Source organism: Homo sapiens, chromosome 13, assembly GCF_000001405.40.
Source record: "Homo sapiens chromosome 13, GRCh38.p14 Primary Assembly".
Taxonomy (NCBI): domain Eukaryota; kingdom Metazoa; phylum Chordata; class Mammalia; order Primates; family Hominidae; genus Homo; species Homo sapiens.
In genome coordinates, this window is record NC_000013.11 from 38,551,805 (window position 1) to 38,579,741 (window position 27,937).

Below are 27,937 nucleotides of genomic sequence, written 5' to 3' on the forward strand. Positions count from 1 at the left end.
CTATTAGATCCATTTGGTCTATAGTGCAGATTAAGTCCAATGTCTCTTTGTTGACCTTCTGTCTGAAAGATCTGTCCAATGCTGAAAGTGGAGTGTTAAAGTCTTCAGCTATCATTGTATTGGGACCTATCTCTCTTTTTAACTCTAATTAATATTTTCTATGTATATGTATATATACCTGAGTAGTTGGAGTGCATATATAAAATTATTTTATCATCTTGCTGAATTGACCCATTTATCATTATATAGTGACCTTCTTTGTCTCTTCTTACATGTTTGTCATGAAATCTATTTTGTCGGATGTATGTCTAGCAACTCCTGCTATCTTTTGGTTTTCATTGTCCTGAAATATATTTTTCCATCCCTTTATTTTCAGTCTATGTGTTTTTACAGGTGAAGTGTGTTTCTTGTAGGCAACAGGTCAGTTGGTCCTGTTTTTTTCATCCATTCAGCCACTCTTTGTCTTTTGATTGGACAGTTTAGTCCATTTATATTCAATGTTATTATTGATAAGTAGGTACGTACTCCTGATATTTTGTTATTTGTGTTCTAGTTGTACTGTGGTCTGCTCTTCCTTCTTTCTTTCCTTCCTGTCTTCTCCTAGTGAAGGTGACTTTCTCTGGTGATATGGTTTAGTTTCTTGCTTTTTATTTGCTGTGCCTATTGTATGTTTTTTAATTTGAGGTCATTATGAGACTTGCAAATACAATCTTATAACCCATTATTTTTACCTGATAACGTAATCCTATTTGCAGAAATAAATGAAGAAACAAGCAAAATGAAACCTAATTAAAACTCTACACCTTCTTTCCCCTTCTTAACATTTTGCTGTTTCTATTTATATTTTACTGTACTGACTATGCCTTGAAAAGTTGTAGTTCTTATTTTTGGTTGTCTCATCATTTAGTCTTTCTACTTAGGATAAGAGTAGTTTACACACTACAGTTACAGTGTTATAATATTCTGTGTTTTTCTGTGTACTTACTATTACCAGTGAGTTTTACACCTTCAGGTGATTATTGCTCATTAATGTCCTTTCCTTTATGATTGAAGTACTACCTTTAGCATTTCTTGTAGGACAGGTCTGGTATTGAAATTCCTCAGTTTTTGTTTATTCGGGAAAGTGTTTCTTTCTCCTTCATGCTTGAATGATTTTTCTTTGGCGTTTTAAATATGTGATGCCACTTTCTCCTGGCCTGTAAAGTTCCCACTGAAAAGTCTGCTACAAGACATATTGGAGCTCCATTGTATGTTATTTGTTTCTTTTCCCTTGTTGCTTTCAGGATATTATCTTCATCTTTTACCCTTGGGAGTTTGGTTATTAAATGCCTTGAGGTAGCCTTCTTTGGGTTAAATCCTCTTGGTTTTCTATAACCTTTTTGTACTTGGATATTGATACATTTTTGTAGTTTTGGAAAGTTCTCTGTTATCCTTTTGAATAAATTTTCTACCTCTATGTCTTTCTCTACTTTCCTTTAAGTCAATAACTCTTAGATTTGCCATTTTGAGGCTATTTTCTAGATCCTCTAGGCATGCTTCAATTTTTTTAATTTCTTTTCTTTTGTCTCCTCCTCTTTCATATATTTTCAAATAGCCTGTCTTCAAATTCACTAATTCTTTCTTCTGCTTGATTAATTCTGATTTTTAAAAACTCTAATGTCTTCCTCAATACCCCAGTTGCATTTTTCAGCTCCAGAATTTCTGCTTGATTTTTTTTATTTTTTTAACCTCTTTGTTAAATTTATCTGACAGAATTCTGAATTCCTTCTCTGTGTTATATTGAATTTCTCCGAGTTTCCTCAACACAGCTATTTTAAATTCTCTGTCTGAAAGGTCACATATCTCTATTTCTCCAGGATTTGTCCCTGGAGCCTAATTTAATTCATCTGGTAAGGTCATGTTTTCCTGGATGGTGTTGATGCTAGTAGATGTTTTAGGGTGTCTGGGCATTGAAGAGCTAGGTATTTAGGAATTTATTGTAGCCTTCACTATCTGGGTTTATTTGTAGCCATCCCTTTTGGAAAGGCTTTCCTGATATTTGAAAGGACTCAGGTGCTATGATCTTAGCTGTATCTGTTTTAGGGAGCACCCCAAGCCCAGTAATACTGTGGTTCTTGCAGACTCATAGAGGCACCACCTTGACGGTCTTGGACAAGATCCAGGAGAATTATCTTGATTACTAGGCAGAGACTCTTGTTCTCTTCTCTTACTTTCTCCCAAATATAGTCTCTTTCTCTGTTCTGAGCCACTTATAGATGGGAATGGAGTAACACAAGCAACCCTGTGTCCATCATCACTATGACTGCACTGGGTCAGACCTGAAGTCAGCCCAGCACTGGGTCTCACCCAAGGCCTGCTGTAATGACTCCCTGGCTACTGCCTATGTTCTAATAGCAAAACTTAATATGTGTTTGTTTCTTAAAGGTTATGGGCAATATGGAATCAAAAATCAAAATGGTGTCAATGAAATTTTCATTGTTAAATTTCAATTGTTTATGTACTTTTTTTAAATCAATAACTTCACTTTTAAGAATTTTAGATTTACAAAAATGTTGAGCAGATAATGCAGAGTTCTTAAATATACCCCTTCCAAGCACACAGTCTCTCCTATTATTAAAATCTTGCCACAATGTGGTACATTTGTTATAATTAATATATCACCACTTATACATTATTATTAGCTAAAGTCTATAGTTTACATTAAGTTTTGCTGTTCGTATTTCACTGTTCCATGGGTTTTGACAAATATAGGTGCTGTATATCTCATTACAGTATCATATGGAATAGTCTCATTGCCCTAGAAATCTCCTGTGTTTCATGTATTCATTCCTCCCACCACTCCCAGTCACCAGGACCCCTGAAAACTATTGACCTTTTTACCGTCTTCACAGTTTTTTTTCCCTGCAGAATGTCATAGAGTACTTAGTCTTTTCAGACTGGCTTCTTTCACTTAGCAACATGCTTGTGAGGTTCCTCCATTTCTTTTCATGGCTTTGGAAATTATTTCTTTTTCTCCTTGAATAATATCCTGTATTATAGATGTACCATGGTATTTTTATGCATTCACCTACTGAAAGACGTTTTGGGCTGGGCGTGGTGGCTCACGCCTGTAATCCCAGCACTTTGGGAGGCCGAGGCGGGTGGATCACCTGAGGTCAGGAGTTCGAGAGCAGCCTGACCAACATGGTAAAACCCCATCTCCACTAAAAATACAAAATCAGCTGGACATGATGGTACATGCCTGTAATCCCAGATAGTAGGGAGGCTGAGGCAGGAGAATTGCTTGAACCCGGGAGATGGAGTTTGCAGTGAGCCGAGATCGCACGATTTCACTCTAGGCTGGACAATAAGAGCAAAACTTGAAAGAAGGAAGGAAGGAAAGAAGGAAGGAAGGAAGGAAGGAAGGAAGGAAGGAAAAGAGAGAGAGAAAGAAAGAAAAGAAAGAAAAAAGAAAAAGAAAGAAAGAGAGAGAAAGAAAAAAGAAAGAAAGAAAGAAAGAAGAAAGAAAGAAAGAAGAAAGAAAGAAAGAAAGAAAGAAAGAAAGAAAGAAAGAAAGAAAGAAGAAAGAAAGAAAGAAAGAAAGAAAGAAAGAAAAGAAAAGAAAAGAAAAAAGAAAAGAAAAGAAAAGAAGAGAGAAAGAGAGGGAAGGAAAGAAGGAGAGATGTTTTGGTTGCTTCCAGGTTTGGTGATTAAGAATATAGCTGTAAATAGGTGCAGGTTTTTGAGTAAGCACGTTTTCAATTCAGTTGGGTAAAATCTAAGAGCAGGATCACTGGGTAATATGTAAGATCTTGTTTGCCTTTGTAAGAAACTTCCAAACTATCTCTTAAAGTACCGTTTTATATTCTTACTAGCAATTAGAGTTGCTATAGCTCCACATTCTCTACAGCATTTGATATTATCGTTTTTTAAAAAATTTTAATTAGCTTAATAGGTGTGTAGTGGTACCTCACAGTTGTTTTAATTTGTAATTCCCTAATTACATATGATGGTGAGCATTTTTTAATATGTTTGCTTGCCATCTACTTTTCTTCCGAGGTAAAGAGAAGACATTTTTCTCATTTTTAAATTGGGTTTTTTGTTTTCTTGCTGTTGAGCTTTAAGAACTCTTTGTACCTTTTGGATAACAGTCTTTTATCAAAAATATTTTTTACAAATATTTTGTCCCAGGATCTGTTTTCTCTTTTCATTCTCTTAAGAGTATCTTTCACAGAGCAGAAATCTTTACTTTTAACAAACTTCAACTTTTTTTTCTTTCAAGGATTGTCTTTTTGTTTTTGTATTTAAAAACTCATCATAAAACCAAGGTTATCTAGATTTTATCCTATATTTTATTTTACCAGTTTTATAGTTTTTCAATTTATAGTTAGGTCTATTATTCATTTCAAGTTAATTTTGTGAAAAATAAAAATGTGTGTGTGTGGGTGTGGGTGTGGGTGTGCGCATGGACGTATGTGTTTGCATATAAATGTCCAATTGATATGGCACTATTGTTTGAAAAAACTATCCTTTCTCCATTGAATTGACTTTGCTCCTTTGTCAAAGGTCAGTTGAACATATTTGTGTGAGTTCACTTTAGGATCTCTATTCTGTTACAATAGACAAGTACAGTCTACTTGTCTATTCTTTAGCTAATATCACACTTTCCTCATAATTGCTGCCTTATAGTAAGTCTCGAAGTCAGGAAGTGTCGGTCCTTTAACTTTGTTCTTCTTTTTCAATATTGAGTTGGTTATTCTGGTCTTTGACTCTCCACATAAACTTTAGATATAGTTTGTTGATAGCCACAAAATAACTTGCTGGAGTTTTGATCACATTGTATCTGTAGATTATGTTGGGGGAAATTGACATCTTGATAACACTGAATGTTTCTACACTATGGATATTTCATGAACATGGAATCTTTCTCCATTTAGGTAGATCTTGTTTGATTATTATCATGATAGTTTTATAGATTTTCTCACTCAGAACTTGTACATGTGTTGTTAAATTTAGAGCTAAGTATTTCATTATTTGGGGGATAATGTGTAGTGTTTTTAATTTTAAATCCCAACTGTTGTTAGTACATAGGAAAGCTGCTGAGTTTTTGCAAAATAACCTTGTATCCTGCAACCTAGCTGTAATCATGTATTAGCTCTAGTTCTATTGATTATTTGGGATTTTCTGCATAGACAATCATATCATCTGCAAACAAAGACAATGTTACTACTTATTTCTCTCTCTCTCTATGTATATATATATACCTCTTATTTCCTTCTCTTTTTTATTGAACTAGCTAGGACCTTTGGAATAACACTGAATACAAGTTGCACTCGTTGCTGGTGAACTAATCTTGGCTTTGATTCTCTATATTAACCTATCTTTCCAAATTTCAGGGTGGTGATTTTCCCTGTAACTTCCAATCTCTGGTGGATATACTGTCGAGTTTCTGTTTGTTCGGCATTTTCCTTGTGAGGATCAAAGTGACGTCTTCCATGTTCTTTACATGTCAGAACTCCCCCTTTACTTTTTAGTAAATACAAACACTGATCAATTAGCTTATAATGAACCATCCTGTAAACACCATCACAACTAAATTATACAATCCAACATCTCCAATTATGAGAAAGATTGTTGTCATGTACCCACAAAAAATACTGTGCACTGAAAAAAACACAGCATCCCTTGTAATATTTTGTCAAAAATGTATAACCTGAATATAATGACAAGAAAACAAAAGAAAAATCCAAATTGAGGTCATTTTGCAACGAACTAAAATATATTCTTTAAAACTGCTATGGTCATGAAAGGAAAGCATAACTAAGAAGCTGTTTCAAATTGATGGATAATAAAGAGACATGGCAATTAGGGGCCATTTTTGACTCTACATTGAATCGTACACCAGAAGTAAATGGGTAATACAAAAGACATTGATAGGGAAATTGGAGACAATTGAACAAGACCTATCCACTGTTTTAAAGTACTGAATCAACATTTATTTCCTTATTTTCATGAAAATTTATAGGCTGGTATTGTTATTTTTAGGAAATATTCTCTGATGTATATAGGGATACTATGACACTATGTCAGAAAATGACTTTCTATGAAATGTATAGTATATATAATAATAATGACATTTATATAGAGTGAATAAGACAAATATGGTAAACTATTAACAACTTGGACATCTGGATAAGGGGTATACAAGAATCCTTTATCACTTATCATTATCTGTGTGACCTTGTGAACACTATTTTACATCTAGGTGCTTTAGTTTTCACATGTGTAAAACAGTGATAATAGTGGTATTTTTAGACATAGTGTGACTATTAAGTGGAATAATGTATGTAAAAACATGCAGATGATCTGGTGTATAATGAACACAGGAAAATCTGTTTTTTTAGAATAAATGCAATAAGTATTTGTTACATCATTAAAAATAATATATAACTTCAAAGCTTCTGGAAGTTCTATATCCTACTGAAGGCATATATGTGGGATAGAGAGTACTTTTATTTAACAAAAATTAAAGAACCATCTTGTGAACACACTTTAATGGTTTTTGTTTTTTTTTTTAACTAGACTGGGTTCTGTGTATAATACAAAATGCCACTTCCATTATGGATGGGGAAGTATTTAGAGATTTTTTTCTTCAAGAATATGTTTATCTTGCATGCATTTTCTAAAATGTTTCTGAGGATCTGTGTGTATAAGTCCTGTGCACACTCGTGCATGCTTACTCAGGAGTTATCTTCAGCAGACTGGCAGGCAACAAGAAGAGTGGCAAGGTGTTTTGTCATTTTAACTGGTGGAAAAACCTCAAATAAGAGTGAACTTGGATTACTTGTATTCCCATAGAACAATTCTCTTCGACTTGAATTGACAAACACACCATGGAATGTTTGCTGGACTTTAGAAAAGCCCACCTGGGCATTCTGTTACATTATCTCCCCAATTCAATGAGTTATTCTTGCCTAATTAACCTAAGTTTTGGCAGCTGCACTATAAAAGTAGATTATTGTAGGTTATTGGGTGTTTATCAATCATCCTGGTGGAAAGAAGTCACCCAGATTGGAAGAATAAACCATGCCCTCCTTGGTACGAGATAGAATATTTCTAAAAGGATCAAGAATAAAAATTTGTACCGTAAAAAAGAAATAGGGAGGAAAAGTAAAAGCTGACCTTCAAGGTAAAAAAGGCTAAGAATTAGGAAGTTCTCATTTTTCTTTTCTCTTGAGCTGTTAATATTTTGTCATTTATTTTCATTATACCCAGATTTTCAGGAAAGACTATACCAAAAAAGGAGGCTGTGTTTTGAGTGCTTCAGGAAATTGAAGACATAGCTATGAAGTCAAAACTCATTTTATTGGCTTGGTTTTACTGTGGTTTTCATGAGTATACAGCAAATACTCATGAAAGTTTGAATAATTGTGTGAATGTACTATTACTAAATTATAATTATTAATACTAATTAGTGAATAAATAACAAATACGTATTGATATACTTCTTGGAAAATCTGAAATGTTAATTGAATCAAACTCAATCACAAAAGTAGCAGATTCCAATATGAGTGAATATATCCTATGCAAATCTTGAGGTCACAACCTAAGACGGTAGAAACTGGTAATCATATCTGATCTCTTATTGCACATGAAATAATTGAAATACATCAAAAATTGGTACACAATGCTCATAAGTGGAATAAAATTTCTGCTTAAATATATGTGCAGTATTGCATTAAATAATATTGTCTGTGTTGTGCCATAAACACTTTACCCAGGTTTTCAAATATTCTCTCTCTATAGCTTGATTCAGAATTTTATTGTTTCATTATGTGACATATTCACATTTATCTTGTACTCCTTTTAGCTCCTTTCCCCATAATATAATGTTTCATAATGTTTTCTTATTGTCATGCATTCATCAGACAAATCTATTTCTTTAACTAACTTTTTTTGGGGGGACATTGTTGAGTTATTCACTCTACACAGTTTTATTGAGTTTGGATGTACTTACAGGCTATACCTTCTCATCTAGAGAATATAATGTGCAATATAATTGCAATATATTACATTCAATAATATGTGTCAAGCATCTGGTTGCTTTTTGCTTTGCTTCATAGAATCTCTCAGAGAGCTCAAACATCAAGATTGAAAACATTTTGTTCCAGAGAGCCATGAAGCTCTACTGAAAAGAAATACAACAAGATAAAATATATCTTTCACCTGACATGCAAAATGTTTTCTGGCTCAAACGTGTTTACTTAAGGGAAATGTGTGAATTCTATTGATTTTTGGCTGGCTTTGGGGGGAAAAAAGGAGGAAGAGCAGAGTGCTATGTGGTGTTGCCAAGAGATGCCATATCAAATTTCAGTAAGGCCATATCAAATAAAAACATTTTCTAATAAGCTGTAAGAAACTCCCTTAAAAATCCATATAGAGATGACCTTCTACAACAAAAGTATAAAACTAGAATTTAAAGACTTACAAATATACTGAAAGTTATGGTATTGTTGTTTTCCAATAAAAACCAGTTAGTTATGTTGCTATAACTTTTTATAATGTTTACCCAAGTTTAATTTCTAATAGATTGTGTCAATTTATTGGGATCAATTTTATAACATGACATTTCAAATATGTATAAAATATTAACATCCTGAAATGTTCACTCTTATTTGATCTTAGAAGTTAAGCAAAGTAGGTCAGGTGAGCACCCAGGAATATGGGGTACAGAGAAATTTGGGTAGCTAAGAAAGAGTGTGAGAGCAATGGGAAGATTTTCCCCCTCAAAATGGAAACTACAGGAGCATGTTTCTCTATTGATGTAGCAATGCAAAGGTGGCCTGGGTCTACTTGGGGTAGGGTTTCCTGTTCTCTGAGTACCATGATGGCCTCAGGGTTAGGCTCACTTAGGCAACACAGGATGAGAAACTCATTGATGTGTGTCTATGTGTGTGTGTGTGTGTGCGCGCGCACACGCTTGGTTTTTTGTTGTTGTTGTTGTTACCTAAGAAGCAGTTAAGTGTAGAGGAAAAAAAATGAGATTCGGGATCAGGAGTATATCAGTTCAGGAAACACCAGCCCAGAAGACACCACTTAAGAAGTAATAAGGTGGAAGGGGTCCCAACACTGAAGAGGAGCTCAGTGGCAGTGGTCTCCTCTAGGACTGGGCTGATGATAAGAGATGTTATTATAGAACTGGACTCCCCAGTAAAATTGGGGTGCTAGGAGCCCACAATGATGGAGGCCTCATGCAGTGTATCTACTCTGGCCCTTCCAGCTCTATGGGCCTTTTGGTCCCTTCATCCATCATCTACAATGGCAGTTCTAGCATTTCTGCTTCACTTAGCATGAGCCTTCACTTTCCAAGTTTCCAAGAGACAACCTAGCACTGGATTAGCATCATTCCTTGAGGTCCTTTTTAGAGCGTTTAGAGTAATTTTATTTCTATAAACTCTCCCTTACCCAACTTCATATTCTATCTCCCTTGCTTCAGCACCCTCTGGATTAAGTCCACGTATACTCCTCTGTTCACGTTTAAGTCTCCGCAGCTTCTCTCAGATAGAGTTCCTTTTCCCTCTCGCCAAGCCCAGCACTTTGTTGAATGGGTTCTACTGTTACTTGGCCCTCCTCATTGGTCTGGTTGTCAAGAAGGGAGGTAGAAGTCAATCCTCTCCGGGCAGCACACCTGGTCTTGAAAGGCAGAGTGTTCTGTTATCTTCAAGCAGGGCTGGGGATGGGGGAAGTTATGCAGACCAGAAGCGGTAGAGGTAACCTGGGTTGCAAGGTTTTCAAGTGAGTTGACTGAAGTGTCACATCCCAACTTTGAGGTTTCACTCCTCCCAATCTCAGCTCTAATCTTGACAGAATGGTCTTGTTTAGGTTGAGGATTCAAACTTCACTGCAGTTCAACTACCCTTATAATTAAGCATTCGGCCTCATGCCCAGGATCTTCTGTAGAGATGTGCTGCCAAGGGGCCCTTGACTTTCACACTCTGCTTTAAATTGGTGATTACTCACCCTCTATCTTTCAAGTAAGAACCATCTCATTCAATTGTTTTCATACTAACTAATCTCCCCTAGCCTCTCCAACACCTGAAAGACTGCATCAGCGAGTGCATTCCTTTCACTGTAACTTGTTTGTTTTTTGTTTTTATCCTCAACCCTACTGCCGTTTCGACAGGTTATTTTTTTTCTTGTGGGGGGCAGGGGTCCGTTCTGTTAAGCACCATCCCTGGACACTACCTGCTAGATGCCAGTAACACCATCATCCCCTCTCCCTCAACACACATACATCATCTCTATCAGAATTGTCTCAGGCTTCAACAAGCGTTTCCAGAGAGGGGAGAAGTATCGCGCCACTGAGAACAGCACTAGCTCATCCCAGTTCAGCATTGGTGAGAATTTTATCAACTGCATTGCCACAGCACACCAGGCCCTGTCCTCTTTCCACCTGTTACCAATGATCTCTCTCAATAGGTTACGGGTTATTCAGTTCAAATTCCCTTTTTAGATTATTCTTTTGTGGAGTGCTCCTGGCACCACCTGCTGTGTATCAGGTCCCCAGGGGAGTAGATCTTGGGATGGATGTTTGTATACAGAAAGCTTTCTGGGGACTGCTAGGGGAAAAGCATCTGTTGGGGAGTGGGCAGAGGAAGAAGTTGAGCCATTATGCAACTGAAACAACTTTTCATCTTTCCCACAGCGAGCACTGGAGCTAGGATAATCCTTTAGAGATGTCCAAATTGTATCACTAAATCAACCACCATTGGATGCAGGTTGCCTCCAGCTTCTACTGATGGAGGGTAATTCCTAGGAAGTTTTCAGCTATGAGCCATCAGCAGTCAGAATTACTGACTCCTGGGGAAATGAGTGCTTCACAAAGGCTGTGCACCATGACATCCACTACAAAGACTGAAATAGAAAATCTTGCAAAATAATTTATTTTCAAATTAGTCAGTAAAAGACTTAAATTTTGCTGTTAAAGAGAACTTGGTAATGCCATGGCATCTTGTGACAATCCAGTCATTAAGTTAACAAATATTTACTGAATGTCAAGCACTATTCTGGAAGCTAAGCAGTGCATTTATGTACATGAAGAGTGATGTTATTTTGTCATAACAAAATCAACCATATGAGGAAGAATAAAACTGGGATGTGATACCATGAAACGTATTCTATACATTGATTGCTTATTTTAAACATATTACCAATAAAAAGAGGCAACTTAGTGTATTCAGTGCCTCTCAGGGGTTTCGTGTGGACTTGTCATTTACAGTCCCATTGGTGAACATAATATCTCCAATGCATTTGGTTGATTGTTCACTTTGAAAAAAAAAATCAAGCTTTAGTGATAATTCTAGAAAAGCAACGAGTCTTCTTAATAGGTCTGGAATTTTTTTTAATTATTTGGTTTATTTTTGTGGTGGCCAGTGAAGGGTGATAGAATTAAGTGTCTCCAGGGTAATAATATTGGTGGTTGTTCTTAAAATATCCCCCACTGATGAGGTTTGATGACATCTTTAAATGTCCTTCATCTCAAGGAAATTGAGTCATGCTTTAGGAAAGGAATTGAGAAACATTTTAGGAAATGTATGTATGGAGCAAATAATATAATGTTATATAACTATTCAAATTCTAAAATATAAAGCAGTGTTTGGAAATATTTTTATTGTACTGACTTCAGAAGTGTGATGGGGAAGGGGGCATGCTAATGGCACCTAGCTTTTAGAAGCCAGGGGTGCTGTAAATACTCTACAATGCACAGGACGGTCCGCAACAACGAAGAGATCTCCAGTCCAAAATGTTAAAGGTGCCAAAGTTGAGAAACTCTTATATACAGAGAAATAATATTCTCTGTACTCAGCCAGTTAATTAGTTTTCAGTATTTTGTGAAAACTATGCAACGTTCTATACACTTCAGGTTCATACAAAATAATATTCATATTGGCAACTTTTAAAGAACAGTTATTCTACACATTTTTAAGATAAAGCATTAAAATCCTCGTACAATGAAAATAAAAATTTCTGTGCATATCTTTTTTATTATCATTAAACATTTGTGAGATTTAGTCTCCCTCCCTCTGCACCTGCAAGTTTAGCTCCTTAAGGAGGAGTAATTGACACCTTGACATGCATGTTCAGTCACATTCCAGGTCCTGAGTGTGTACTGACCTAGGCTGGAATTAAAGCAGCAGCCACATCTTTACTACCACCTACTGAGAAACACAGTTAATTTTTCCTTCAAGATCTAATGTCATGAGGCAACCGTGACTTTGGGATTCCAGCTTTACCCATCTCTCCTTCTTAAAAATGGTGATGCAAATTATACTCAGGACCCTAAAGCACTAGAAACTACCCGTGTTCTCTCTGCCTCTTCACCCCTAAACAACTACTCCCTTTCAGACATCTTGCCTTTTAACCTTGTCTCTGTTCACTTCCTATCCCTGGCACCAAGCCCCCACTGGCACTGAAGCCCTCTTCTAGTCCCTAGTTTGGAAATACGTTCAGATTCTTCACACCTGCGTCTTTTCCAGAATTGAAGCCAGTCTCCCAACTATTAACATAATGGGTCATGACAGATTAACTAGGAGGTAAATATTCACGGAATTGCTCACTTTAGGCCGCTGAATTTAGACATTGTCTTCCATTTTCTATAGAAACTTTTTCCCCTGTGACATTTTGAGTGCTGTATTGTAATTGTTTCTTTATAGGTCTCCTTTCTCAATCAGGCTGAGAGCTTTCCCAGGAGACTGATTTTTCGTCTGCGACCTGCAGAATAGAGTATGGGACATAATGGACTTTGAAAAATGTTCGGTAAGTAACAAAATGCCTGATTGAAAATCTCATTACTACCCTTAGTCTTTGGCCAGTGGCTGCCCTTCTAGGTTTTAGAATCTAGTGTCAACTGTGATACTAGTGCATTTTCTCTGCCTCTGCCCTGTTTAGGTGCTGGACTCTGGGGCTGTGTTCTGTCTGTCCTATCTCTTCTGTGCTGATATGAATAAGCCATATTGTCTTGAGCTTGTGTAATGCACAGATAAGTCACTACCTAGTAATTCAAACAAATTTTTTACAGGATTGCTTTAATGAACAACTAAAGAACTAGTAATTACTTTAATCACAGGCATTTCTGTGGCTGCAGCAGTAGAGACCATTAATACCAAAAGGCCTCAGGCATCTAAACTGGTTTAGAGAGAACAGAGCTTCTTTGTAAGTAAATGACTTTTAATCAGAGGCTCCAAAGCTGTCACTGGAACTGTGGCAATTTACCCAGACACAATTAAAGCTTCTACTTTAAATAAAGAAATAAGAAAAAAAGAATATTTTACAGGAGAAAAATGAGAAATGGATTAGCATTTACATAGACATGACATTCCAGTGAGTGAATACCAATGCTAGAAATGATGATTATGATGAAGAAATGCAGAATTATATGCATTAAACCTACAGTCTGAACAAAAATGATCAGGAAAGAATGGGTGTATTATCCAAAAATTATATACCAAATAAATGGAAAAAGATTTGTAGCAGAGCATTGAAATGGAATAATACTATAGGGATTTTTTAATATTATAATTGTATGTATTATAAAGATGGAAATGCTGCGTAACTACTATTTTAGAAAGGATTTGATCCAGTTATTTGGACCAGCATATGAAAATAAATATTTACTATTTAACATTCCTATGCCTTTGATTTTTGTTTTTTGGCTACAGAAGCCTCCAAAACTTATGAGAATACAATTGCATCAATCGTTTTAAAAAGTTTGAGTAAAAGAGTCTGAGATAACTACATATGTCAATCAATTTTTACAATGAAAAATACAAAATAGAATTAAAGTTATTTGTTATTAGTGTTTCCAATAAACAATATAATCATTCTGCAAGCGCCTAGAGATTTAGATATCACGCATGCTACACAATTAAAGAATGGCAGCATAAAGAGACTGTTACCCAATGGAGCCAGTGTTCAAGAATATTTAGTGATGGTTTATTGTGCTTGAATGATGGACCTCAAGTGAAATCTCTTTTATGTATATATAGTTAATATTTCATCTTATTTATTTATAAATCACTTTGTTTCAAAATTGAGCCAGCTACATTAAATACTCATAATTCAAGATAAGATGTAATTCAAAATGAATAGATGGGATAATTTCCAAGTAAGATCTCAAGAGGCTGAATCCTCTCCCCGCAAGTGAGGATGATCATTCTCTGTCCACCACTCAATGCCTATGATAGTGCCTGGAACAGAGGCAGTACTCAAAATTATCTGCTGAATGAACAGATGTGACTCGAATGCCCATTTTAAATTCCTCCTCTCCTAGACTTTTATTGAAATAGTCACCAGAACAACAAGAATAGAAAGACTTTTAATTTGTTTAATTTTTTTAGTATAGATAAAATCTTGCTCTGTTTTCCAGGCTGGAGTACAGTAGCTTGATCACAGCTCACGGCTCAGGGCAGCCTTGACCTCCCAGGCAAAAGCGATCTTCCTGCCTCAGCCTCCTGATTAGCCGGGACTACAGGCATGTGTCACCACACCTGGCTAATTTTTTTTTTTTTTTTGTAGAGACAGGGTCTCACAGTCCAGGCTGATCTCAAATTCCTGGGCCCAAGTGATCTTTCTGATCTCCCAAAGTGCTAAGATTACAAGAGTAAGTCACCACACTTGGCCTAAGACTTTGTTTATTTTGTCAGAGTTAAATCAATCTGGAAGAGAGTAGTGTTTACTACAAAGTAGTATATTTCTGCTAAATATAGTACTGGTGGGGCTGGAGGAAAAAAATTAACTAATTAAAAAGCTGACCTGACCATGTGGGAAGGAGTAGCCTATTTGAGAAGTAAAGCTAGACCATCATCCTCCAATTCAGAATGGCTTGGGCTGAAACCGGCAGCTGGCTGGTGGGACAATCAGAAGCATGTCTGATTCCCATTATCTTCCTCTGGGAAGAATGCCAACTACCAAAGACGACATCTATGGAAAAAACATAGAATCACTTTTAATGGGCTCACAACACAACACAAATGGCCGTGCCAGGAACAGAATAGCTGCCATACTAAATAGGGAGTTGAAACTCCAGTTTTTCCATTTCTCAAGCAGTATGTCATTGAACTGGCAGAGGAAAACTAGAGTAAATCTTAAGTTTTTCATCGTCCTTTATTTAGAAGAAGATGGTTAAATAATAATGTACACAATCTTGGAGAACAACCGTCTCATTTTTTAATATTAAGCAAGCATTGAATTTTGTGGTAAATTCAAGCAAACTGTACATGATAATCATAGTGATGATAATGATAGGCCCAAAGAAAACATCAAGTTTATTTTCTTCTGGAAAACAAGGTTTCCTGAGGCTTTCAATCAACCACACTGTGGTCTGGAGATAGACTACAGTGTGCATCTGAAGTACCTGCAATGGGTGTGATAGGGAAATAGATTCTGTTCATGTCTGTCTACCATGCGGGAGCCAGTGAAGCCTCCTCACTCTGCCCCACACAGAGATCTCTGGGGCATGTCCCTAAGAGCATCTCCCAGCCACCCTTTTCAGGGCTGGTGCCTGTGCTTGCCATTGGGATACACATGGGCAAGCCAGAGGCTCCAGCTCTGCCCAATTGTGTCCGGCCTCTTCCACGGAACACCAGGAACCCCACTATCCAGCTCTTCACCTGAAACAGCAAAGAACACGTCACAGTAAACAGATCAGGGCCATACCCTCCCTGTTGTGCAGTAAGTAGCTGGCTCTTACCTGCAAATGTCATCTATTGGCCTGTAGGTTGAACCCAATACAAAACCTGCTGCATAGGTCTGTAGAAGCAGAGCCAAAACAGCCTGCCCACTACAGCCATCTCCAGATGAGAAGGAACCAGTGTGAGAATTCTGTCTGAATATTGTGACATCACCAGAGGCTCACAGTAGCTCTCTAGCAATGGTCCCTAGCAGAAAAGGAGGCACAGAGATGCAGATGGAGAATTCAGAGCATGGATTGCAGGCAAGTTCAGTGCAATTCAAGGTAAGATTGCAAATCAACACACAAACAGAAAAAAACTTCTAAAGCAATCCAGGAAATAAGGATAGAGGAAAACATTTTAAAACAAAATCAATCAAAGCCACTGGAACTGAAAAACTGAAGGGATTTCAAAACAGAATTGAAAGCATATTTTTTAGTAGCATAGACCAGGCAGAAGAAAGAATTTCAGAGCTTGAAGATCAGTCTTTCAAACTAAACCAGTCAGATAAAAATAAAGAAAAAAGAATTAGAATAGATGAATAAAGCCTCTGAGAAATATGGGATTTGAAAAGCAATCAAGCCTATGAATTATTAGTATGCCTGGGAGATAAGAAGAGATAGTAAACAACCTAGTAAACATTATATTTGAGGACAAAATTCAAGAAAATTGCCCTAATCTTGATAGAGAGTTAGACATGCACATACAAGAAATTCAGAGACCACCTTACTGATACTATACAAAACAAACATCACCAAGGGATATAGTCACCAGAATGTCAATGCTAAAGAAAAAAATCTTAAATGCAGCTAGAGAAAAAGGTCAGATCACAAAAAAAGGGAACCCCAACAGGCTAAGAAAAACTACTCTGCAGAAACCCTACACGCTAGAAGAGAGTAGGGGCCTATTTTCAGCATCTCAAAGAAAAGGAACTCTGACCAAGAATTTCACACCCTGTCATACTAAGCTTCATACATGAAGGAGAAATACAATCTTTTTCAGCCAAGGCATTGCTAAGAGAATTCATTACCACTAAACCAGCCTCACAAGAGATCCTTAGAAGAGTTATGAATACGGAGATGAAAAACAATACCTGTTACCAGGAAACCACACCTAAGTACACAGCCCACAGACCATTTAAAGCAACTGCACAATACAGACTGCAAAACATCCAACAAAAAACTTCATGATAGGATCAAAACTTCAAGTATCAATATTAACCCTGAATGTAAACAGTCTAAATGCCTCATTTAAAAGGCATAGGGTGGCAAGTTACATTAAAAAATAAAAAGACCCATCCATCTCCAATTTTTAAGAGGTCCATGTCACATGTAATGACATCCATAGACTCAAGGTAAAGGTTGGATGAAGATCTATCATACAAATGGAACATAAAGGAGCGAGGGTAGTTATTCTTATGTCAGATAGAATAGACTTTAAACCAACAACAGTAAAAAAAGAACAAAGAACGACACTACATAATGATAAAGGGTTCAATCCTACAAGATGACCTAACTATCCTAAATATATAAGCACCCAACATTGAAGCAACCAGATACACAAAACAAATACTTCTACAACTACAAAAAGATGTAGACATTCACACAATAATAGTTGGGGATTTCAATACCCCACTGACAGTGTTAGATTACCGAGGCAGAAAACTAACAAAGGGATTCTGGACTTAAATTGGATACTTGACCAAATGGACCTAATAGATATCTACAGAACACTCTACCCATCCACCACATAATATACATTCTTCTCATCTGCACACAAAACATACTGTAAGATTGACCACATACTTGGCCTTGAAGCAAGTCTCAATAAATTTAAAGAAATCAAAATCATACCAACCATACTTTTGAACCACAGTGGAAAAAAATACAAATCAAGGTCAGGCACGGTGACTCATGCCTGTAATCCCAACACTTTGGGAGGCCAAGGTGAGCGGATCACTTAAGGTCAGGAGTTTGAGACAAGCCTGGCCAACACAGTGAAACCCTGTCTCTACCAAAAAATACAAAAATTAGCCAGGCATAATGGCACATGCCTGGAGTGCCAGCCACTCCGGAGGCTGAGGTGGGAGAATCCATTGAACCTGGGAGGCGGAGGTTGCAGTGAGCTGAGATCACATCACTGCACTCTAGCCAGCCTCAACAACAGAGTGGAACCCTGTCTCAAAAAAAATAAAAAATACTAATAAATACCAAGAAGATCTCTGAAGAACACACAATTACATGGCAATTAAACACTTGTTTCTGAATGACTTTGGTGTAAACAATAAAATTAAGACAGCAACTTTAAAAGTCTTTGAAATTAATGAAAACAGAGACACAACATACCAAAATCTCTGATATACAGCTAAAGCAGTTTTAAGAGGAAAGTTTATAGTGCTAAATGCCTATGTGAAGCCATTAGAAAGATCTCAAATTAACAATCTAACATCCCACCTAGAAGAACTAGAAAAACAAAAAAGTAACCCCAAAGCTAGAAGAAGGAAAGAAATAACCAAATCAGAGCATAACTGAACAAAACTATAAGCAAAAAAGTCATACAAAGAATTAGCAAAGCCAACAGCTGGTAGTTTGAAAGAATAAACAAGATTGATAGACTGCTAGCTAGATTAACAAAGAAAAAGAGAAAATCCAAATAAGTGCACTCAGGAATGACAAACAATATTACAGCTGATCCCACAGAAATACAAAAACCCTAAGAGGCAATTATGAAGACCCCTGTGCACATGAACTAGAAAATTTAGAGGAAATGGATAAATTTCCAGAAACACACAACCTCCCAAAACTGAGTCAGAAAGAAATCAAAGCCCTGAACACATCAATATTAAATTTCACAATTTAATCCATAACAAAAAATGTACCAATCAAAAAAAGTCCTGGATCAGATGGATTCATAGCTGAATTCTGTGAGACATACAAAGAAGAGATGGTCACTGTGGTACTAAAACGGTTCCAAAATATATAGGAGGAGAGACTCCTCCCTAACTCATTCTACAAAGACGTCATCATTGTGATAGCAAAATCTGGCAAAGACACTATGAAAAAAATGAAACTACAGGCCAATATCCCTAATGACCAAAGATGCAAAAATCCTCAACAAAATATTAACAAACCAAATCCAGCAGCATATCAAAAAGTTTATTCACAACAATCAAGTAGGCTTTATTCCTGGGATGAAGGGCTGGTTCAACATACATAAATCAATAAATGTGATTCATGACATCAACAGAATTAAAAACAAAACCACCTGATAATCTCAAAAGCTGCTGAAAAAGCTTTTGATAAAATCCAACATGCTTTCATAATAAAAACCTTCAACACAATAGGCAAGGAAGGAACACACCCCAAAATAATGAGTTATCTATGACCAACACCCAGCTGACATCATACTGAACAGGAAAAAGCTGGAAGCGTTCCACTTAAGAACTAGAACAAGACAATAATGCCCATTCTCACCATTCCTCTATAATGTAGTACTGGAAGTCCTAGCCAAAGCAATCAGGCAAGAGAAAGAAATAAGAAATAAAAGGCATCCAAATAGGAAAAGGAGAAGTCAAATTATCACTCTTCACTGATGATATGATTCTATACCTACAAAATCCTAAAGACTCCAACAAAAGGCTCCTAGAATGGATAAACAATTTCAGTAAAATTTCAGGATACAAAATCAATGTACAATAATCAGTAGTATTTTGACATGCCGATAACATTCAATCTGAGAGCCAAATCAGGAATTCAATCCCATTTAAAATAGAAAAAATAACTAGGAATACATCTAAGGAGATGAAAGGAATACACCAAGGAGATGAAAGATCTCTGCATGGTGAACTACAAAACTGCTGAAGAAATCACAGATGATAAAAAAAAAAATGGAAAAAAATCTCATGTTCATACATCGGAAGAATCAATATTGTTAAAATTGCCATATTGCCCAAAGCAGTCTATGGATTCAATGCTATTCCTATCAAACTGCCAATGACATTTTTCACATAATTTTAAAATACTGTTCCAAAATTTATATGAAACCAAAAAAAGGCCTGAATAACAAAAACACGTCTACATAAAAGAACAAAGCTACAGGCATCACACTACCCAACTTCAAACTACACTACAAGGATACAGTAACCAATATAGCATGGTACTGGTACAAAAACAGACAACATAGACCAATGGAACAAATTAGAGAACTCAGAAATAAAGCTGAACACCTAAAACCATCTGATCTTTGACAAAGTCAACAATAAGAAGCAATGGGGAAAGGACTCCCTATTTAATAAATTGTGTTAGAAAAGCTGACTAGATCTATGCAGAAATTAACTGAAGATGGATTAAAGACTTAAATGTAATACCCAAAACTATAAAAATCATAGAAAAAAGCTAGTAAATGTCATTCTGGACATCAGACTTGGCAAAGAATTTATGACAAAGTTCCCAAAAGCAATTGCAACAATAACAAAAATTGACTAGTGGGACCTAGTTAAACTAAAGAGCTTCTGCACAGCAAAAAAAAAATTATCAACAGATTAAACAGACATCCTACAGAATGGGAGAAGATATTTGCAAACTGTGCATTCAACAAAGGTCTAACATAGAGAATCTAAAAGGAACTTAAACAATTCATCAAGAACAAACAAGTAATCCCCTTAAAAAACAGGCAAAGAGCATGAACAGAAATTTCCCAAAAGGAAATATGCATGTGTCCAAAAACTACATGAAAAAATGCTCAACTTCACTGATCATCAGAGAAATGCAAATCAAAAGCTCAAAGAGATACCATCTCACACTAGTCAGAAAGGCTATTATTAAAATGTCAGAAAATAACAGATGTCGGCAAGGTTTTGGAGAAAAGGGAATGCTTATATAATGTTGGTGGAGATATAAATTACTTCAACCACTGTGAAAAGTAGTGTGGAGATTTCTCAAAAAAAAAAAAAAAAAACCTTGAAACAGAGCTACCATTTGACCCAGCAATCCCAATACTGGGTATAGAGCCAAAAGGAAAATAAATTGTTCTACCAAAAAGACATGGATGTGTACATTCATCACAGCACTATTTTTAATAGCAAAGACATGGAATCAACCAAGATGCCCACCAGTGGTGGACTGTATAAAGAAAATATGATACATATACACCATGGAGTACTATGCAGCCATAAAAAGAATGAAATCATGTTCTTTACAGTAACATGGATGCAGCTGGAGGTCATTATCCTAAGCAAATTAGCACAGGAATGGAAAACCAAATATCACATATTCTGACTTCTAAGTGGGAGCTAAAAATTCAGTACACAGGATATAGAGGTGGGAACAATAGACGCTAAGGGACTACCAGATGGGGAAGGGTGAGGTGGTGGCAAGGGTTGAAAAGCTTCCTATTGGGTACCATGCTCACTACCTGTGTGACAGGATCATTTGTACACCAAACCTCACTAATATGTAATTACCAATGTAACAAACCTGCACATCTACCCCCAAAACTAAAATAAAAGGTGAAAAAAAAATGATAGATATCTGAATAGGCTAGATCTTTACTTCATAAATATATTTTTTTAATTCTCAAAAAAATCCATCTAGTAGAACTTCCAAGAGAATGCTAATAACCACATTATAGAATATTTTTCTTTTAATTCAGCACAAATGAAGACATGGTAGTGTACTACAGAACAATCTCCAATATAATAAAAATTTTATCAAAACCAAGATAACACTTGATGGTGAAAAATTGCAACTATTTTTAAAGTCAGAAACATTAGGAGTGTATTTCTTTTACCAGTCTTATTAAATGTATATTATCAAGACATTATAATCGATGCAATACTAATAAATAATCCAGGCCAATAAATAGCAGAAATCATAATTTTCACATTATGTTATTGCCTACTAAGGAAAACTAAGAAAACCAACAAAAACGTGATTAAAACTCAAAAGTGAATTCAGAAAAATGTCCGATTTCCAAACTTCACAGTGTTCAATGTACCGATAATAATGTTTGAAAACAGTGAGTAAAAATACTTTTCTCATAGTAACAACAAAAGTTATAAATAGATTACAATAAATTTATAAAGAAATGCGCAGAATCCAGACAAAGTAAACTACAAAAAGTTTATTGTGGCATATAAAAAAGACTAGCAAATGAAGACGCATATTATAACACTGGAGTAGAACTTAATGGTGTAAACATTCTCATCCTGTGTAATTAATATGGCCTAAGTGTAATATAATTATGATAAAAATAGCTGAAAAATGTCTTGTGAATACAAAAATGTTACTGAAGCTTGTTTAATTGAAAAAAATGAGGCTAAATCCTTCAAAATAAATGTAAAGGAGAGTACACTTCCAATTATTAAGATGCATTAAAGTGCTTCAATAATTAAAATAAGATAGCCCATACTGATTGGAAGAAGTTCAAAGGCTAGAAATAAAAGAAAAACTCCAAAGAACAAAGGTATAAATAGAATCTACATATTTATATTTTACATAAAAGAAGTCTGGAGGCGGATAGTTTAGGGCTGGCAAGACAGCTCCAAGTTCATCAATAACTGAAGCTTTCCACCTGGATATTTTTGGTGTATAGTTCCATCCTAAGTGTGGCTTCTACCCTCTGGGTTATGTTTTAGTCCAATACATTTGCTGGAACCCATCCATCACTTCCACACTGCAGGGCAGAAGGAAAAGTAAAGCCAAAGGAGTAAAAAAGGAATTCCTCTTCAATGAATGAGTTCCCTTTAATCAGCCTTCCCCTGTGGCCCACTTGGTAATCTTGATGGCATTTCATTGGCCAGAACCTAGACATGTGACCACATCTTGCCATAAAGAAGGCAGGAAATCATAGTTTCATTTGTACGTTATTTACCTAGCTAAAAATTAACACTCATATTTCTAAGAAGGAAACAGGGAATCAATGTTGGACTAAATAATGCTAGCATCTGACAAATGATAGGAAATTAGTCTATAATAAAGGTGGCATTTTATATTAACAGAGAAATGATGGCTTTTTTCAAAAATAATTCTGAGAAATTAGATAACTACCTAGAAAAATGTTAAGTTTACTCTTTCCCTATAGTATTCAGAATTTTAAATTATGTATTATTTAAATTTCTATAATTTTAACTTTTTTCTGATTCAAAATAAAATATATCATTGAATGCAATTTAGGAAACATAAAACAGTATACCAAGCATATCTATAATGTTATTACCATAGATTACAATGATCAATGTTTTGAACTTTTCTTTGTATATAAACATCTGTATAGATTTATATAAATGGATATAATGTGTATATAATATATATGTATATTTAATAAATATATATAACATATATGGGTGCATGCACAAACATATGTATATGTATAAACACACACACACACATACTCAGATCATATTGTATGATTCAGGGTGGTGTTGCTGAAAACATTGGAAACCGATCCTAACACATAAAAAAGTCATGCATCACTGAAAGATGAGGATACCTTCCAATAAATGTGTGGTTAGGGGATTTTGTTGTTGTGTGAACATTATAGAGTATGTTTACACAGATCTAGAAGGTATAGCCCACTACACACTTAGGCTATATGAGCCAATGCTCCCAGGCTATAAACTTGTATAGCATGTTACTGTACTGAATGCTAGAGATAATTGTAACAGTATGGTAAGCATTTGTGTATCTAAACATATCTAAAATTAAAATGCTACAGTGAAAATATGGTATTATAATAGGACTACCATCATTGATCAAATATTGTCATGCAGTTCATGACTGCATTAAAAAGTAGCTCAGCAAAAAATAGAAAAACCTACAGAAGCAAAAGGAAAACATCAAGGACATATTATAGTCAAAAGTTAGGTTACTACAAACCATCAAATCCTACTTAGGTTTTACAGAAGAATCAGAAATATGCCTCTATGCCTTCCAGAGATATAATCAGTGATGTAATCTACAGAATCCGTAAGATATAAACAAACTCTTTCCTATTACAAGAATGGAAAGAAACTTAAACCTTAGGTACTAATGCATAACAAGCCATGCAATATAATGCATAGGAATTTCAACAACAAAAACAAGGCTGTTTCTTATCTCTCAGTGTAAACCCATATAATCTTGGCAATGTGTAGTTCAATAAAAGCTGTTCGACAGGAAGCCAGAACAATTTTGTCCACCTCTGTAGCAGTCTGTTGTTCTGAACAATACAATGAGAAAATTGAGAGTCACTATAGCAATGGTTTTCAAAATGTGTTCTAGTGGAGGATCTTGGCTTCCAGGCAGAAAACAATCAACTTTTAATTCTTAGAGGGCTGCATGAAGTTTGCTTGAAAACAATTTTTAATTAAAAACAATAGTAAGTCTTTAAAATTTAATTTTAGTGTAATTGGTGGTCTGCTTTTTCTTTAGTCTTCCATAAATACTAATTCTCTTAGTTGAGCTTTTGGTATTAATTAAAGACATATTAAGCACCGACCACTAGAAAAACTGGCTCAAATAAAACTATTCAAATTGCTGGCTAAGCATAGAATGCATGCTTAAAGAGCCAGAAAAGCTGGGTATAGCATTGACATTCTCTTGCAAAGGTTGCAGCCTTACAAAGGCACACATCTCATTAGAAAGTCACCCACACAAAGTTTGGGATGGGAGAGCATCCAGAGGCAAAGCCAGGATTGTCCTCCAATATTGTTGTGGTCCGCACTAATATTCAGACAGAAAGATTATCAGCGCTCATAGTGTAATATTATGACCCCCAAAGGGCCGTATTCCATGGAAGAAGCTTTGTATGTATTTGAGTGTATTCTCAGGGGCCTACTAGATATCAGGAAATGTATTAACTGGCCTTATCATTTCAAACAATTAAATGAAGGTAGAATAAAGAAGTGTTATTATGATAGTGGTAAGATCATAGTTAGAGAAGTCAAGAGTTTCAGAACCACCTAGACAACCATTCACTCAAGAACAATGCAGGTCCAGATGACAAAACAACTAAATTTTTATTATTTGCTGAACAGCAGCCCCACATACCAATGCTGAGATTTGAAGAGCTAAGCTGCTAGGATGCACCCTGGGAAAAGGCTTGTGCAATGCAGTCCTAGAAAAACTAAAACCAAAGCTGGACAAATGATCTTCTTTGTCTATTCACAGCTCAAATCCTATAAAAGACTATATCCAAGAGTACCAGAAAAACAGGTAAGTGGATGTGTTTAGTTAGTATAGATATATTAATAATTCTCCTTATAAAATTTTATTCTTAGAAAATATAGTCAATCAGCCCATGTTCTGACATCTAGATCTCTTCTTGGTGAAATTAGGCAGGTAGGAAGACAAAAGGGGTTAAGTGAGGAGAAAGGTGTATAGAATTCCTTTCCTAGAAACCAATATTCCCTGGGATGTTGTTTGTATATGGTTAACTAGGAACACAGCTATTCCACTCAAGTAAGATCAATGGAATATAGTACTAGAGAAGTCCCACTGAAAACTTTCTGTCACTTTCGCTTTCTGTCTATATATCTTCTTGGGACTAGTAAGATACAGACATACACACATCTTCTCCAACAGTTATGAATGACTCTTAATTATTTCCCCTGAAAGATTATCCAAAGGGTCAAGGAACAATATTCTTTTATTCCCTTTCTTTTTCTGTTGAATTCCATCTTCCTAAGAACTAAGGGGCATGTGGAGGTCAAAGCTTTAGAAAGAAAGTGGTATGTCAGCAGTTCCTGAAGAGGGCTCACGAGAGCTGTCCAATACTAGCAGAGCTGAAACCAGACCTCACCATGGCTCTTGGGTCCTGAGACCGGATAGCACTTACAGAGCTTTGGTTTTCTCCTTTGTAAAATAGGAAGGGTGTTGACTTTACGTCTATGATTTGTTACATCTCTTCAGCCAAAGTGATTCAACTGAGCCCCATTCTCTATCAGACCCTTTTCCCATGACCCACGTACTTATGCAGTGCTCAGAGAAAGCCTGAGCCCCATTCTCTATCAGACCCTTTTCCCATGAACCACGTACTTATGCAGTGCTCAGAGAAAGCCTGAGCCCCACAACAAACAAAACCGCAGTATGTTCTTTCTTTTCCATTGCTGGTCAAGAACATTTCCAATAAAGTGGAGATGGTGCATGAATAACAGGGGGTGACGTTCTGCAGTTCTGGAGGCTGGAATTCCTAGACCAGAGTGTCAGCACAGTCAACTTCTGGTGAGGGTCCTCTTCTGGGTTGCAGACTTCCAATTTCTCTTTGATTCCTCATGTAACAGAGAATGCTGAGTTGTTCCTATTCTAATTGTAATGTTGTAGTACTACGTTCTTTTATAACATTCAACTAAGTTCACAAAACATAATTTTATAATGACCGTTAAATCAGAGTTGAACCCATATGCTACAGCGCTAGCAACATGATACAGAGAAAAAGGTTCACCTTTCTTTAATAAGGTATCAGTACAAATGCTCTCCAGTTATTAAGTATATTTCTATCCTACAGAGAATTTAAAATCCCCCCAAAATTTTTCACCCTGAAAAATTAAAAATGTGTTCAAAAATAGATTTTTTTTCTGTCACTGGAATACTTGAAGCTCCTTTAGAGTATTTCAACCCCAAGTTTTTAGTGTAACTATCCCATTTTCCAAAGCTAACAAAAGTCAGTCATCATTTTTATAAATTGTTGCTCCATCAAAACAAAGTTCAGTTCTAAATGGGAGAATTTTAAATTTTATTATATTAGGGTAACCTTTTTCACAGCATCAATATAATGTAGTAATAAACTGTTTTCTTACTATGTCAGTGAGAACAGGTTTGAGAATCCAACAGATTTCTATTGGTACAAGGAAAACTAATCTCCTATCAAAGGATCAGTCAATTAAATGTCCTTGCAAGGGAGTCTTCTGACCATGCATTAGGGTTGCATTAGGCTGCACCATATCATCGTGAGACAGTCATCATGCGTATTTTAATTTTTCTCCTTGAGGATTTCCACTCAACTTCTTGTGCCTAACATGTGTGATTCTAAATTGAACCAATGGTTATAAGTTGTTTATTTCAAGTAGCATTTATAGATTTGGCAAAAACACTGAACTTAGTAGGTTGCTAATTAATTAAAGCTAATTGCTCTTACCCCTTAACTGTTTAGGTGATTGTAAATTAATTTCCTTTAATTGTTGCTAATCCACTATTTGGATAATTGTCTATACATATGTTCAATGTGTTTCCTATTTTATAGCATAGGAGCTGAATTTCCTACATTCGAACTACCACTCTTTACTTGATCTTAGCCAAAAGGCTTAGAGATGATCTCTCCAAACCGCTCTTGTCAGAATCTGCCTGGGTGAGCCTTTTTGAAATATATCTCCTCGGCTCCTTCTCTCCTCTAGACACCAACCGTTTATTCTTAAGGCCTGGGCCCAAAGCTCTCATCTGTTCTGTATTCTGTTATTTAATATCCACAAGGCTTCATTGCTAAATATTCTACTTGTTCCCTACCATCAAGTTGTTGTTGTCATTGTTGTTATTGTTGTTTGAGATGGAGTCTCATTGTGTCGCCCAGGCTGGAGTGCTGTGGCATGATCTCCGCTCACTGTAACCTCCGCCTCCAGGATTCAAGCCATCCTCCCACCTCAGCCTCCTGAGTAGTTGGGATTACAGGCATGCACCACCATAGCTGGCTAATTTTTTTTTTTTTTTTTTTTGTATTTTTACTAGAGACAGGGTTTCACCATGTTGGACAGGCTGATCTCAAACTCCTGACCTCAAGTTGTCCACCTGCTTCAGCCTCCCAAAGTGCTGGGGTTACAAAGGTGAGCCACCGCACCTGGGCCCCTGCCATCTTCTTTACCTTCTTTTTACTCTCTCAATGTATAGTTTTCTCCTTTCTAATTATTCGTAATAGGAATGTTTCATAATCTACAAATAGTGATTCTGTTATGGTTTGGATATTTGACTTCTTCGTACCTCATGTTGAAATTTGATCCCCAGTGTTGGAGGTGACGCCTGCGTGGAGGTGTTTGGGTCATGGAAGTGGATCCCTCATGAATGGGAGTGAGTTCTCGATGTATTAGTTCCCTCCAGAGCTGGTAGTTAAAAAAGAGCTTGGCACCTCCCATCTCTCTTGCTTCCTGTCATGCCATGGAAGCAGCCTGGGGCTTTCATCAAATGCCCAATCTTCTAGCCAGCAGAATCGTAAGCCAAATAGACCTCTGACCTTTATAAATTACCCAGTTGCAGGTATTCCTTTAT

The 27,937-nt window shown here is 36.2% G+C and overlaps 3 long non-coding RNA genes across 3 annotated transcripts in view; 1 reads left to right on the top strand and 2 right to left on the bottom strand.

The window, feature by feature from the left end:
• The window catches only part of LINC00437 (long intergenic non-protein coding RNA 437), a 154,676-nt gene that overhangs the window by 19,805 nt on the left and 106,934 nt on the right, over positions 1-27,937 (bottom strand). The gene's annotated exons all lie outside the window — the stretch shown is intronic.
• Positions 15,280-15,816, bottom strand: LOC105370167 (uncharacterized). The gene is made up of 2 exons (XR_941883.3): positions 15,728-15,816; positions 15,280-15,647 (listed from the first exon to the last, which is right to left on the bottom strand). It is a non-coding gene; the product is annotated as an uncharacterized LOC105370167 (long non-coding RNA).
• LINC00366 (long intergenic non-protein coding RNA 366) lies at positions 15,920-27,712 on the top strand. Its single transcript, NR_046999.1, has 4 exons — positions 15,920-15,991; positions 24,854-24,898; positions 26,925-27,029; positions 27,404-27,712. It is a non-coding gene; the product is annotated as a long intergenic non-protein coding RNA 366 (long non-coding RNA).